Consider the following 15,064-nt stretch of genomic DNA (forward strand, 5'->3'; position numbering starts at 1 on the left):
TTGTATGCCCATATTTTTTTTCCCTTCAAAATATGTGATGTGTTAAAAACACTATAAACACTTTTTCAGTAGACGCTCAGTGAACATTTACATGCACACCACCAAAAGCATGGTGGATCTAAGAACGAAAAGATAAAACTATGCTCAACAACCTTACCTTTCTCAAAGAACAAATGTAGAGTTAAATATATATTCGGGGTAAAATTTGCATTGTAAACAGGCATTAGGACTCAGTAGAAAAAAAGACTGGCTGGGCATGGTAGCTCACGCCTGTAATCCCAGCACTTTAGGAGCTCGAGGTGAGTGGATCACAAGGTCAGGAGATAGAGACCATCCTGGCTAACATGGTGAAATCCAGTCTCTACTAAAAATACAAAAAGAAAAAATTAGCTGGGCTGGTGGCACGTGCCTGTAATCCCAGCTACTCAGGAGGCTGAGGCAGGAGAATTGCTTGAACCTGGGAGGTGGAGGTTGCAGTGAGCTGAGATCACACTACTGCACTCCAGCCTAAGCAACACAGTGAGACTCTCTCAAAAAAAAAGAAAAAAAGACTAAATCAGTCATACATTTAATAGTGGGGCTAGGAAAACCCAGGATTTTATCTCCCATTCAGTATTCACTCTTGTACTGTATCTGTCCATACCTACGTAACTGAATTGCATTACCTGCCTGTGACCCAGAGGAAGAGAAAGCCATCATCCTGTAGTACGGGTATGTTGAGCCTGCGCATCTCATCATCTGTCAGGGTCCCATAGGGCAGTTCCATGTGAATATCCCAGGGTGGGTCAGCCATCACAACTGCAAACTTGCCCAAGATACTGACGTCCAGGTAGCGGATATCACAACAGATCCACTGCATAAAGTGGTATTTGGTCATCTTCCCTACTTTAACTCTGAGATTCATGGCCCGAGTCCCTCTTTTCCATTTGATTTTTCCTATTCCCTTAAAAGCTTATCTATCCCCCTCCATTCCCAATAAGCAAGACAAGATTGCTGAATTATGCTCTGCTTTCTTAACGTGTATGGCTGCCCTATCAAACATAAGTCCGTAAGTTGAGACGAGTTTTCTGAGCAGACAGGTACCTGAGGTGGGAAGAGTCGGTCTGCACTGGAATCACCTCCGACACTCTGTGTAAGAGCAAGCTCCTGGCTTGGCGTGTGGTCTTTGCTGCCAGGGGCCTCAGAATCCATGCAAGCATCAATTTCATAGTGAACATACTTGCAGGTATCCATGTGGAAACATGTATTAAGGAAAGAGCAGTCACCTAAAGACTCATCAGTGTGTTTATTGATAATTCGTCTGGGAAAATAAAAAGGGAGAATCAAGATGGTGCTCCAGATGTAGATCCAACAGTTCAAATTCCAAATGATTTCAAAATGTCTATTTTATTACCCTCCCCTAATTCTATCATTAGAGCTTCCTTCAAGAGTTTTAAGGGAGGCAGGTAGCATGGAAATCCATAATTCATACTACAGAACAATTGTAATTCCTCTCTGAGTAAAGACTTGGTTTCCTGTTTTACCACTGGAAGGCAAGCAGTGCAGGAGACTTGGGTAGAACAGAATAAAACACTGACCTAAGAGTTTAGGTTCCTTTTCTCCTAAGATTATCCTCCTTTCAGAGTACTTTAACTTTCACTGTGGCTCAGAGACAGACATACTTTGCTATTCTAAGAGGGAGGGAGCTTTTAAAAAAAAAATCTCAGTTATTTGGGAGTACAGCCTGTATTCTTCCCACACAATGCACTTCTGAAAGTACACCTTCAGGGTCTGGAGGACTTACACAAACCATAAACTAAATAAGATTACAGACAGAACCCCAATGACTGGAAGGAATATGCTGAAAAGGAATGGCTGCTTCTGACAAACCCATCCCACCTCATTCCCTTCCAAGAGACCTGAAGTGCAGCTTGCGACAGGGTCGATCAGCATCACTGGCTTTCATGCACTCCTCCTTGGTTCCATAGTCACAGAATTCTTGCACTTGGGCCCGACCTCGAGAGCGAAATTTTTCAACAATGGATTGTTCCTTGGCTGTTGTAGTATTTAATAGCTCTAGGATCTCCTGACTGACCTGTGACAGAAGTAGCCTTGGACTTAAAATGTCTTATAGATCAAATTGGCTCTTAGACCAACTCCGCAAATTCTTTTTGACATTAATGTCTTCTAAGAGATAAATCAACTTTTTTTTTTTTTTTTTTTTTAAGAGATGGGATCTTGCTGTCACCCAGGCCAGAGTGTAGTTGTGTAATCATAACTCACTGTTTCTCCCACTGAACTCCCAGGCTCAAGTGATCCTCCCAGCTCAGCCTTCAATTGTAGCTGGGAATATAGGTGCGTGACACCATGCCAGCTAATGTTTTAATTACTTTACTTTCTATAGGGATAGGGTCTATGTTGCCCAGGCCGGTCTTGAACTCCTCGCCTCAGGTGATCCTCGCGCCTTGGCCTCCCAAAGTGTTGAGATTACAGGAATGAGCCATTGTGCCTAGACCTAAATTAGCTAACTTAATATTGGAAAATTGGAGCCTTCAGATAAGAGATTTGTTAGGGGTTCAGTCCTTCCTCACAAATATGCATTTGGGATGAAATTAAAATGGAAGAGGCCTGGTTCCTACCGCTAAGCATTATGTTAACATCCCCTCCCCAGGAAGGCATTCCTTCTACAAAAAACATATTTACTGGGTGCTGAACTAAAAAGTATAGTGCTAAACACTTTACTTTTTAGCTCAGAGTCTATTCAATTCTATAAGGCAGGATACGCTGGTATTATCTTCATGTTACAGATGAGAAGACTAAGGCTCAAGAGAAGTTAATTAACTTGTTCAAACTCACGCACTAGAAGTACCAAACAGATAAGAACTCATGTCAGGCCAATGCTTATACTCAGAACCAATTCACATTATTTAGTCAATTTCCATAATTGGTCTAGTATTCCTCTCCATTCATCTCCCTATATTTCTATATATTTGGATTCCTCTTCTCTTGATCCAATTCTTTCAGATTCAGTGACAGATTATCTAAATAAGAATTTGTCGACATTGGCATTGTTGACACTTTGGGACAGACAACTGTTTGTTGTGGGGGTTTGTCCCACTATGCACTGTAGGATGTTTGACAACATCCCTGGCCTCTACCCCCACTAGATGCCAATAGCACTCCCCCATGTGTGACAATAAAAATGTCTCCGGACATTACCAGATCCCCTGGGAGTTGGGCAGTAGGGAATCATCCCCAGTTGAGAACCACTGCTGTAAACAGTTCCTTGCCCTAGGGGTAAATCCCTGTCAAACAAAGCTATAATTAAGAGCATATTGTGAGAGTATTTTCACATGACCCCTACCTTCTTGCTCTGTTGTTCCTTAGTGGACTGTTGGTTCAGAAGGCTCTCTATCTCCAGATCAACATCTGAGGCAGCATGTTTCCTTGATTTCTTGGCTGGCTCCTTTGCTGGTTCCGATGCTGAAGAGTTCAGACCAGAGACTAACGAACTGGCAAAGGCAGCTACTGTAGTCGAGTCCTGTTCTGCACGCCGCTTCTGCCCTGTGACAGTCCCTGCTACCTCCCCAGGGCCCTTCTTTTCTGCCACAGCACCCATCATGGCAGAGAGCTTGGAATGGTCAGCATAGGTTACAAGAGTAGGATGTGCATCATCTTGTAGGAGACCTCGCTTTACCTCAATCAACTCCTGAGCTGCAAACTTCTGCAGGAGGCTTTCTACCCCATCTTGAGTGGCAGGAGCATCTGGCTAGAGAACGAGGGGAGGTATGGGCAATAAGACACTGACCGTGAACTGAAAATAAGTGGTAAATCCTAACTCTGTCAGGTCATTACCGTGGAGATGGCAAGACAGATGGACACAGCATCAGTGGGCAATGTTAAGGCCAGATCAGAGAGGTGGTGTAGCAACTTCTTCTCTAACTCAGGATCTGTAGCTAATTCAGGAACTGCTGAAGCTGTGCTGGGCTTAGGGCCACCAGAGGTGGGTGCAGTAGGCACTGGGCTGTCACTACGGAAGGTTGGAGACAATGCTGCCTCTGGATTCCGTAGATCTAAGAATGAAGAGAAGTGAAAATGAAAAAAGGCAACCACTGTTGGTCTATATATTTCTGAGAAGTCAAATTCTCTAGCATTCCCATACACAGATCTTTCATTTTGTGCAGGAAATTCTGTGACCAACTTTAGCACTAGATTACCTATCCTCAATCATACTAAAACATTCACTGCTTTGTCAAGATAATACTGGATTTTCTATCTACCTTTTCTCTATTGAGTGAGTAATCTTTTCCTAATTCCCTATCCTTGCTGTGATACAAAGAAAGTAAATTAGCATGATAGATTTAAATATCCCTACCACCTTTCTATCAACCTACATTTTAATAAAGGACAGGAATATACTCAACAACCTAGGCTGGGATCCAATATTCTTTTTGAGGCATGTAGTGTGAATTTTAATGAATTCAGGCCACTGATCAACAAAGTGTACAAAATGACAATGTTGGGGGCCAACAGTGTTACCTATAACACTCACAAACACAAAAATCTTAATACTTTGCTGAAGCCTTGGTTACCAAATGATATTTCCTGACTATATTATTATCATCTATTACTTCACAAGCTGGGTTGCCATCATAACCTTAATAACGATTTGAGAAACTAAAATTAGGACAAAATGTTATCTTTGAGAAAGCCTAATATCTGTGGTTAATTAAAATATAGATGAAATATTAAACTCCTAAGAACTGAACTGAAATTGCTAAATAAGTAGGCCATTAGTTTACATTTAGAAATATTTTGTTTACTTAAATATTTCCATTCTGGTAAGGCACTGGGGCTCACGCCTGTAATCCCAGCACTCTGGGAGGCCAAGGTGGGTGGATCACTTGAGGTGAGGAGTTCGAGACCAGCCTGGCCAACATGGTGAAACCCCATCTCTACTAAAATACAAAAAAAAAAAAAATTTAGCTGGGGGTGGTGATGCAAGGTTATAATCCCAGCTACTGGGGAGGCTGAAGGAGGAGAATTGCTTGAACCCACGAGGCAGAGGCTGCAGTGAGCCAACATCATGCCACTGCACTCCAGACTGGGCGACAGAGCAAGACTCTGTCTCAAAAAATATATAAATAAATAATTCATTAATTTGAAAATTTTCCACTCTAATGGAAACTGAATTTATTAAAATCTGACTCAGGGCTTGGTGTGGTGCCTTATCTCTGTAATCCCAGCACTGTGAGAGGCCAAGGTGGGAGGATCACTTGAGCCCAGGAGTTCCAGACCAGCCAGGGGAACATGGTGAAACCCAGTGTCTCTAAAGAAAATTTTTTTAAAAATTAGCCACACAAGGTGGCCTGTGCCTGTAGTCCCAGCTGCTGGGGAGGCTGAGGTGGGAGGATTCCACTCTCACCCATTTCTTCTTTCATTTTCAGTTTCTCCAGTTAGTAACTGAAGATGTTCTTTGAGTAATTAAGTGAGTGAGAAAATTTTTAAGTGAGAAATCTATAAAAAGAACCATGTTAACATAAATATTTCAGTCCTTACAAGTTGGTATTGACTTTTCTCATTGGTAATCTGACTGATTTAATACTGCTCATTCCAATATCTGGTGATGTAATTCTGGTTATGAATCCTTGTATTAATAACACCTCCTGGGAGGTTTTTTTTCCCCAACATTACATTCAGAATATTAGAGCTGAAAATACCTTTTTTAAGGTTATCAGGAGGAGGGAGCTTATGTTTAATGTGGTGGATAAAACTTAACTGCTGGTTAATACAATTGTTATTCAGGTGAAATTCCCTAAACTTTTCACGTGCAAAGTTTTGTATGTATACAGACATTTGGGGAAAAGTTTTATCATCCCTAAAACCGGTTACTGTCCAGAAAATGATAAGAATCCCTGGGTTCCAAATCCTTCATAAGGTATTTATTCATTTATTTATTCAACACATTTACTCAATGCCTCCGCTCTGCTGCAACTACACTGACATTCTGCTTCTAATCTAACGAAAATAATGTGTTCGGTTTAGCAAAATAATACATAACACTTGATTCACCCTTTAATTAAGAGAACCACTGAAATTAATATGGTCTGATTACAAATTTGCTGAATCCTTAAACGTGTCAACATCTATATGCACATCTTCAATCTCAAGAAATATACTGGAGCACTTCACATATTTACTATGTGCTAAACCTGGCCAAATATAGTTTGTTTCCATTAAAATAAAGTTTTTTTTTTTGAGACGGAGTCTTGCTCTGTTGCCAAGGCCAAAATAAAGATTTTTTTAAGTAATATTTTTCTTTTTAAAAAAATATACTTTACCAACATGAGATATATAACACCCATTAGGATGGCGCTTCCTCAAAAATCAAAAATAGAATTACCATATGATCTAGCAATTCCACTTTTGGGTATATGCCCAAAAGCATTAAAGCGGGGTCTCGGCCGGGCGTGGTTGGCTCACACCTGTAATCCTAGCACTTTGGGAGGCAGAGGCGGGCAGATCACGAGGTCAGGAGATCGAGACCATCCTGGCTAACACGGTGAAACCCCGTCTCTACTAAAAATACAAAAAAATTAGCCGGACGTGGTGGCAGGCACCTGTAGTCCCAGCTACTCAGGAGGCTAAGGCAGGAGAATGGGGTGAACCCAGGAGGTGGAGCTTGCAGTGAGCCGAGATCGCGCTACTGCACTCCAGCCTGGGTGACAGAGCGAGACTCCGTCTCAAGAAAAAACAAAACAAAAAAGAATTAAAGCAGGGTCTCAAAGAGATATTCATACACCCAGGTTCATAGCAGCATTATTTACAATAGCCAAAAGGTAGAAGTAACCCAAACGCCCACCCATGGATGAATGAACAAAATGTGTTATATACATACAGTGGAATATTATTTATCCTTCAAAAGGAAGGAGGCCAGGCATGGAGGCTTATGCCTGTAATCCCAGCACTTTGGGAGGCTGAGGATGGAGGATCACTTGAGCTCAGGAGTCCAAGACCAACCTAAGCAACATGGCAAAACCCTGTTGGGCGTTTTGCCCAAAAAATACTAAAAATTAGCCAGGCAAGGTTGTATGTGCCTGTAGTACATACAACAAGCACCTGCCACCACACCTGGCTAATTTTTATATTTTTAGTAGAGACAGAGTTTCACCATGTTGGCCAGGCTGGTCTTGAACTCCTGACCTCAGGTGATCCACCCGCCTTAGCCTTCCAAAGGCTGTGGACACCTGTAGTCACAACTACTCGGGAGGCTGAGGCAGGAGAATTGCTTGAACCCAGGAGGCAGAGGTTGCAGTGAGGTGAGATGGCACCACTGCACTCCAGCCTGGGCAACAAGAGCGAAACTCTGTCTCAAAAAATAAATAAATAAATAAATAAATAATAAAAATGCCAATCTAACAAAGGTCTCCCAATATTTTGCCCATATTATTTTCCACTATTAACGATGTGGTGGGTACATTTTAGTTCATTTTATATCCTTGTCTTTTGACACTCAGTTCAGTAGTCGGTAATTATCAGATTTCAGTAATGCTGTAAAAAACAAGGTGTGGCCGGGCGCGGTGGCTCACACCTGTAATCCCAGCAATTTGAGAGGCCGAGATGGGCGGATCACGAGGTCAGGAGATCGAGACCATCCTGGCTAACACTGTGAAACCCCGTCTCTACTAAAAACGATACAAAAAAATCAGCCAGGCATGGTGGTGGGCACCTTTAGTCCCAGCTACTTGGGAGGCTGAGGCAGGAGAATGGCGTGAACCTGGCAGTCGGAGCTTGCAGTGAGCCGAGATCGCGCCACTGCATTCCAGCCTGGGCAACAGATGTGGTAGGCAAATTTTTATTTCCGGTGAGAAACGAATGGAATAATCTGAACTTTTATCAAGTCTTGAGTTATATCTTACATGACAACATGATTCATAAACTTACAATACAGTGTTTCACAAGGGTTTCCTAAGAATCCTAAAGCTCAACAAAATACATTCTTTGAAATAATCAAAATAACACAGAAAGAACAGTGACATTCTGGTTTAATTTGTATGTTTCATCTTTACCTATTACCACAGTACCAAATGATGGGTCAGATCAAGCTCTCGGTCAGAAGACAAGATACATTTAATTACAACCCCAAAAATACTTTTATAAGAGTCTTAACTAGACTGGGATTACATCTGTAATCCCAGCACTTTGGGAGGCCAGGGTGGGAGGATAGCTTGAGCCCAAGAGTCCAAGACCAGCCTGGGCAACATGGCAAGGCCCTGTTTCTACAAAGAAATAAAAATTAAAAAGTAGGCAGGCATGGTAGGGTACACCTGTGGTGCTAGCCACTCAGGAGGAGGCTGAGGCAGGAGGATCACTTGAGCCCTGAGGTCGAGACTGCAGTAAGCTGTGTTCACGCCACTGAATTCCAGCCTGGGTAACAGAACGAGATTCTTATCTTACACACACACACACACAGAAAAGGGTCTTAGCTATATTACTAGCTAAATATACAAATCAAGAGATATTCACATCTAAAAAAGAAAAAATAAATAAAAATAAAAAAGGATATGTACATGCAGGGAGAATACAGTCTTATTGTCAAAAATATTAAACATGTTTAGCAAGGACCTGGATCAAAGTATCAAGGCTCTAGTAGTTAGGTCTGCATACAGCAGAAAGTTTGGTTAATACCAAAATGTAGTTAATGTCATAGAAAAATGAAATGAAACTTAAAATGACCAAGAGCAATTAGAATCATTCATTGAAAGAGTATGAATTTAGAAATGGAAAAGTATAAAGAAGTATGATGCCGGGCACAGTGGCTCACACCTGTAATCCCAGCACTTTGGGAAACTGAGGCGGGCAGATCAGCAGAGGTTGGGAGTTTGAGACCAGCCTGACCAACATGGAGAAACCCCGTCTCTACTAAAAATACAAAATTAGCCAGGAGTGGTGGCACATGCCTGTAATCCCAGCTACTCAGGAAGCTGAGGCAGGAGAATCACTTGAACCTGGGAGGCGGAGGTTGCGGTGAGCCAAGATCGCGCCATTGCACTCTGGCCTGGGCAACAAGAGCGAAACTCCATCTCAAAAATAAATAAATAAGTATGATGAGGAACAATTAAAACCAAGAAACAACAAACAACACCACAGATAGAGGATGGCCTGTCACAAAAACGACAGAAAGGTGAACACAAAGTAGTCAATGATGTAGTACACCAATATAGCGGCTTTTTAAAAGTTAATTTTGTAGGCCAGGCATGGTGGCTCACGCCTGTAATCCCAGCACTTTGGGAGGCCAACGTGAGTGGATTGCTTGAGCTCAGGAGTTAGAGATCAGCCTGGGCAACATGGTGAAACCCCTTCTCCACCAAAAATACAAAAAATAGCTGGGCATGGTAGCACACGCCTGTGGCCCCAGCTACTTGAGAGGCTGAAGTGGGAGGATCGCTGGAGCCCGGGAAGTCAAGGCAGCAGTGAGCCATGATCATGCCACAGCACTCCAGCCTGGGTGACAGAGGGAGACCCTGTCTCTAACTAACTAACTAAATAATTTTGCAGATCACTTTGTTGAAACAAACAACTACCTGATCCTCAGGTCCCCTTTTGCAACTGCCATTGCTGAATGGGAAAAGACTCCACAGGAAAATTAAATAGGCTGGATATGGTGGCTCTCACCTGTAATTCAAACACTTTGGGAGGCTTAGGCAAGAGGACAGCTTGATGCCAGGTGTTCAAGACAAATTTGGGCAACATAATGAGACCATATCTCTATTAAAAAGTTAAAAATTAGCCAGGCATGGTGGCATGCACCTGTAGTCCTAGCTACTCAGGAGGATGAGCCGGGAGGACTGCTACACTCCAGCCTGGGCAACGGTGAGAGACGCTATCTCAAAAACAAAAGCAAAAAAAGTCGTTGGCATCATTTATGCACATTTTTAAAAAGTTTCAAAACAGGAAACCAAAGAATAGGGGAAAAAACATAACAAAACAAAAAATTGTATCTATAAATAAATCAATGAAGTTTCTAGAGCAAGGGAAAAAAAATTCTCCCTCTTAGGTAATTCAGGAACTACTCTGAGACTTGACTACTAATTATTGCCTGACCATATGACTTGCACTTCTTACTCCACTATCCTCCCCTCTTACCTCTTTAATTATCTAGGTCCTATATAGCCATAAAGGCCAAATTCAAGTGCCAATTCCACTATGATGGTTTTGATGGCTTCACTACCTACACCAGCTCTTGTTACTTCTCTTCATTGTACAGACTGTAGATTCATTCATTTGGTTTCGTACATATATCTTATCATATTCCTCACTTTTTGTAAGCGTCTCCCCTTGAATCCTATGCTTTTTAAACTTCTTGAGGACAGGGGCAATTTCTTCCTTATTTTTGTCTAATTAGACCCATGAACACTGTAGATACTCAAGAAAGGTAATTAATTAGGTGGGAGGATCCTGCCAGTGCATCTTCTATTTCTAGGGGCCAGAATACGAGCACATGAACCTAACATGATCTAGACAAGATTTAGAGATGCAGTTGAAGATACTGACAAATATTGGAACAATCTACCACAAAGGTGATACTGAGTCACTATTTTTGCAGAGCTTTGTTACTAGTTTGCCTTAAATAATTCAGAGTTTGTCCTGAGGGTAGGGAGTGGATAACAGTGAATTTAATCTTTTAAATTTCCTTCAAGTTTTATGATCGTGACACGGGGGCAACAGGAGAAGAGAAAAAGTTTGGAAACCAAACACAAATGTTTTCAGATTCCTGCTAGGTATGTAAATGGCTAAGTCAATGCCGGTAGGGGTACTCATTCAGAAACACCCAGTGCCACTCTGTACGGGCCACTAAATTGGGCACTGCGGATATAAAGGTTCATTCCTCGCTTACTGTACCCACAGCTGCCAAGAAATGACCACTACAAAACAGTCGTTATAACTGAGGGAACAAAGCGCCAAAGCAGCAACAAAAAGGGGTTCTTGCTGCTTCGCGGGATAGGGGGCTGAGCAGCCTCACAAAGGCGACGTCCTCGCAGTCTGAAGAGGAGTGGGCAAGGCGGACGAGGGTGGGGCTCAAGCGTCCGTCCGGTAAAAGTGAGCTGGAAGAACCGAGGCCCAGCGTGAGGAGGAACCGCGAACTACTTGCAGAAGGGCGAACGTCTGCTGCTGAAGGTGGAGAGGGAGTACCAATGTACGAGGCTTTATAGAAATGGCCGTTTGGTAAAGGGCAGTGACTCTGGAGCTTTTTCTCTAGGGATCCCGCCCGTCCTCCCCGGTTGAGCCTCGGCCCCAACAGCCCAGTGCCTCACCCAAGTGCCCCGAGTCCTGCTTCCGCCTCCGCTGCAGCCTCTCCCGCAGAGAGTCCAGCTGCTTCTTGTGGGCCTGGATAGAGCTCCACGTGTCCGACATCCTAGTCTCCCAGCCCTGACACCTCTCGAATAAGGCGCGGCGGACTAGCACCTCCCAGCACTCGCTCCAGGATATAGCCAATTCTCACGCGGACACCCCGAAGGCTAACCGGAAAATGACCCCTGGAGCTGAGCAAGACAGAAAAGTCATTTCCGGTGTCGCGCTTTCTTGGAAGCTATAAAGAGCCACGTTAGGTGTTGGCAGAGCGGCCGGTATAGTCCTCATACCCGCTCTCTCATGCTTCCGGACACAGTGAGGCTGTGGTTGCCATGTTGGTGACTGGCAGAGCGGCCATGTTGCTTATAGACGCGCATGCGGCCATGTTGAATATTCGGAGAGGAGTCCTGAGAGTTGACTTGTGTTAAAGTAGCACTCGTAGAGAGCAACACCATATAGTACAGTTTTGGGGGTTTTTTTCTTTTTTTTTTTTTTGAGACGGAGTTTCACTCTGTCGCCCTGGCTGGAGTGCAATGGCGCGATCTCGGCTCACAGCAACCTCCACCTCCCGGGTTCAAGTGATTATCCTGCCGCAGCCTCCCGAGTAGCTGGTATTACAGGCGCCCGCCACCACGCCCGGCAGATTTTTTGTATTTTTAGTAGAGACGGGGTTTCACTGTGTTGGCCAGGCCAGTCTCGAACTCCTCACCTCGTGATCCGCCCTCCTTGGCCTCCCAAAGTGCTAGGATTACAGGCGTGAGCCACCACACCCGGCCATAGTACAGATTTTTAAGATGAAGGATCACTAGTTCCTTTTGACAGTTTGGTACTAACATACCTTTTCCACTGAAGGTGGTGTTGGTTTGTTTCCATGCGTTCATTTACAAAAAAATAAAAAACACAACGGTGGTCCCCAATCTGAGGTGAGGAGGGGGCGGTGGTGGGTGCGGGCATGCTTCTTTGTGTTGACGAGGCGTGGGGAAGTGGGGAGGGCTGATGAAGGAAAAATCCGAGAGGTCTTCAAATACGTGATCTCTCTCTTAGGCTAAATTTACAAAGTACGTGTAATCTATTAAAATCGGGTTCCGACACTAAGAGGGCTTTGAGGTCCTGGTTGCGTTGTGTTTTTTGTTATGAGAGCTACCTGCATGAGTGTGTTCAGTTTGTGAAATGTAATTGAGCTGAACATTTTGGTGTGCACTTTTCTGTATGTGTAGTAAACTTAAATACAAGGTTGGTGGTGGTGGTTTTTCCTACAATCCTTTCTTTCTTTCTTTTTTTGACACATTTTCTTTTTTTTTTTTTTTTGAGATGGAGTCTCACTCACTCTGTCACCCAGGCTGGAGTGCAATGGCGTGGTCTCAGCTCACTGCAACCTCCGCCTCCTGGGTTCAAGCGATTCTCCTGCCTCAGCCTCCCGAATAGCTGGGATTACAGGCGCGTGCCACCACACCTGGCTAATTTTTTTTATTTTTAGTAGAGACAGGGTTTCACTATGTTGGCCAGGCTGGTCTCGAACTCCTGACCTCGTGATCTGCCCCTACGATCTGCCCCCCTGCCTCAGCCTCCCAAAGTGCTGGGATTACAGGCGTGAGCCACCGAGCCTGGCCTGACACAGAGTTTCATTCTTACTGCCCAGGCTGGTGTGCAGTGGTGTGATCTCAGCTCACTGCAACCTCCACCTCCTGGATTCTAGCTGCCTCAGCCTACCTAGTAGCAGGTATTACAGGGACCTGCCACCATGCCCAGTTAATTTTGTATTTTTAATAGAGATGGGGTTTCACCATGTTGGCCAGGCTGGTCTTGAACTCCTGACCTTAGCTCATCAGCCTGCCTTGGCTTTCCAACGTGCTGGGGTTACAGGCATGAGCCACCGGCTTGGCCTTTTGTTTGTTTGTTTGTTTTGTTTTTTTAATGGAGCTCCCTGAATGGAAACATTTCGGGAATCACTGACTTATCCAATGTCTACATGATGCCATACGCTGTTGTCCAAAAAATACAAAAAATAGTTTGACTGGCATGGCTCCTGTTTTCAAAGAGTTTATAATCTGGTCAAGGAGCTGTGAGCCAGTTTATTAATACTGAACCATCTTCACAGCATGAGGTAGCATGGGCATAGACTTTTTAAAAAACAAAAACAAAACAAAACAAAAAAACAGGAAAAAAAAAAACGTGATTTCAAAGAAGAGGAGGACTCCAAGTTTAATGACCCAGGAAGGCATTGGAAAGAAGCTGGAATCAAGGTTCAGGCTTAAAATGACCACTAAGGTTTCAGTAGGTGAAGGTATAGGAGGGAAATCCAGGTCTGGAATATGATAAAGGCAAAGGTCTAGACTAGAGGTAGGAAAGCGTGATGTGTGTTATGCCAATCTGGATTAGTTCGCCAGAACATAAAGATTTATATTTGGGAATATTGGGAGAAATTTTAGGTTTCCAAATTTGAGGCCAGATTGTAGAAGGTACATGGTACCTGAGTAAAGACTTGGCAATTTATTCAGAATACAATAGGAAACACTTAGGGTTTGTAAATAGGAATGTTTCAAAATTGATTTGCTGTTCTAGATAAATTGAGGTGAGGAGGAAGGAGATTTTGGAGAGGACAAAGATGGTTATTAGTCCATTGTAACTAAGTGTCTGATGAGAAGAACTGTAACTAAAAGCTGGTTATGAACAGTAATGAAAAGGAAGGGGTGAATATGAAGGGAGCTATTGAAAGATGTATGTGTATTGTAATATGACTTTTATCCATTCAGTAAGTATTGAGTGTTTACTATGTGTTAGATACTATGGAGATTTAGTAGTGATGAAAATACTCATTTCCATCTCATTTTCTGAACTTAATTTACTTTTAGGGAATTTACACTATCTATTGGGATGTGTAACTTTGTTTTTTTGTTTTTGTTTTATTGAGACAAGCCTCACTCTCACTGCTGGAGGGCAGTGGTGCAAAGAAGTAGCACAAGTACTCCTGAAAGTCAATCAAATCAAGGGCAGCTCCCAGAAGTTTTTGCTTTCACATTAACTCTGGGTAAATTATTACAGTGGCATATTGGGCAAATTTTAGAAGTACAGGAAGGCCTCTTAGCATGATCTTCTTGTAGAGAGATTCTTTTTAGACTCCTCTTGACCAGTTTGCTGCTCAAAAGAAAGACATTGCTTTCTTGTCCGCGCGTAGCCCTCAGCAGTACACAGAGGAGAAGGAGGAGGAGGAGGAGGGAAAAATGCAGAATTCTTCTAGTCAAAATGGAGTGTAAGCCTAATTTTGAGCAGATGGGTGCTGCATGCATTACACTTCTCAACTTTTCCTCATATCTGCTATGGTAGATTGCTTCCAGTGTTGGCCACAACAATGCCTCTCACCTACATGCCCTTAGGCAGTGTGACTTTGCCCCCTTTCAATCAATAAGTAAAGCTTATTCCCCCTCCTCTTGAATCTGAGCTAGGCTTCTGACTAGCTTTCACCAAAAGAATGTGGCAGAAGAGATATTCCCTGAGTTCTAGACCTTAAGAGGTCTAGACCTTAAAAGGAATTACAGCTTTCGGGATTTGGTTTTGTTTTGTTTCTAATTTTTGAGAGAGAGTCCCTGGGTCTGTTCCATCTAAACACTGTTGAAGCAAGAGACAGATCTGAGGGACCTCCAGATGTGCTGCCGCGGCTTCTGTTTCTGCCCTCTTGGAACCCTGGGCCTTCATGGAAGTCCAGTCACCCTGATAGACCACTTAAAAAGAGAGA

At 43.2% G+C, this 15,064-nt stretch overlaps 1 protein-coding gene across 4 annotated transcripts in view, besides 1 other annotated feature; it reads right to left on the reverse strand.

Annotated features, from left to right (window-relative positions):
* METTL3 (methyltransferase 3, N6-adenosine-methyltransferase complex catalytic subunit) overlaps positions 1–11,511 on the reverse strand; it is a 13,203-nt gene extending 1,692 nt beyond the window's left edge. For 2 of the 4 annotated variants that reach the window (XM_011536968.3, NM_019852.5), the window contains exons 1-6: positions 11,295–11,511; positions 3,835–4,052; positions 3,344–3,748; positions 1,899–2,074; positions 1,084–1,300; positions 666–853 (exon numbers count right to left, since the gene is read on the reverse strand). In XM_011536968.3, coding sequence (XP_011535270.1) covers positions 666–853; positions 1,084–1,300; positions 1,899–2,074; positions 3,344–3,748; positions 3,835–4,052; positions 11,295–11,394 — 1,304 coding nt within the window. In that variant the 5' untranslated portion in view covers positions 11,395–11,511. Of the gene's footprint in view, positions 1–665; positions 854–1,083; positions 1,301–1,878; positions 2,075–3,343; positions 3,749–3,834; positions 4,053–11,294 lie in introns of those variants that run through there. The other 2 variants (XM_047431594.1, XM_006720206.5) reach the window with 2 other exon arrangements.
* Positions 11,554–11,793: an enhancer, noted in NCBI's record as "active region_8111". NCBI's record gives its function as "activates an Ori minimal core promoter by ATAC-STARR-seq in GM12878 lymphoblastoid cells {active_cell/tissue: GM12878}" and the evidence as "EXISTENCE:reporter gene assay evidence [ECO:0000049][PMID:35858748]".

The sequence above is a fragment of the Homo sapiens genome, chromosome 14, assembly GCF_000001405.40.
Source record: "Homo sapiens chromosome 14, GRCh38.p14 Primary Assembly".
Classification (NCBI taxonomy): domain Eukaryota; kingdom Metazoa; phylum Chordata; class Mammalia; order Primates; family Hominidae; genus Homo; species Homo sapiens.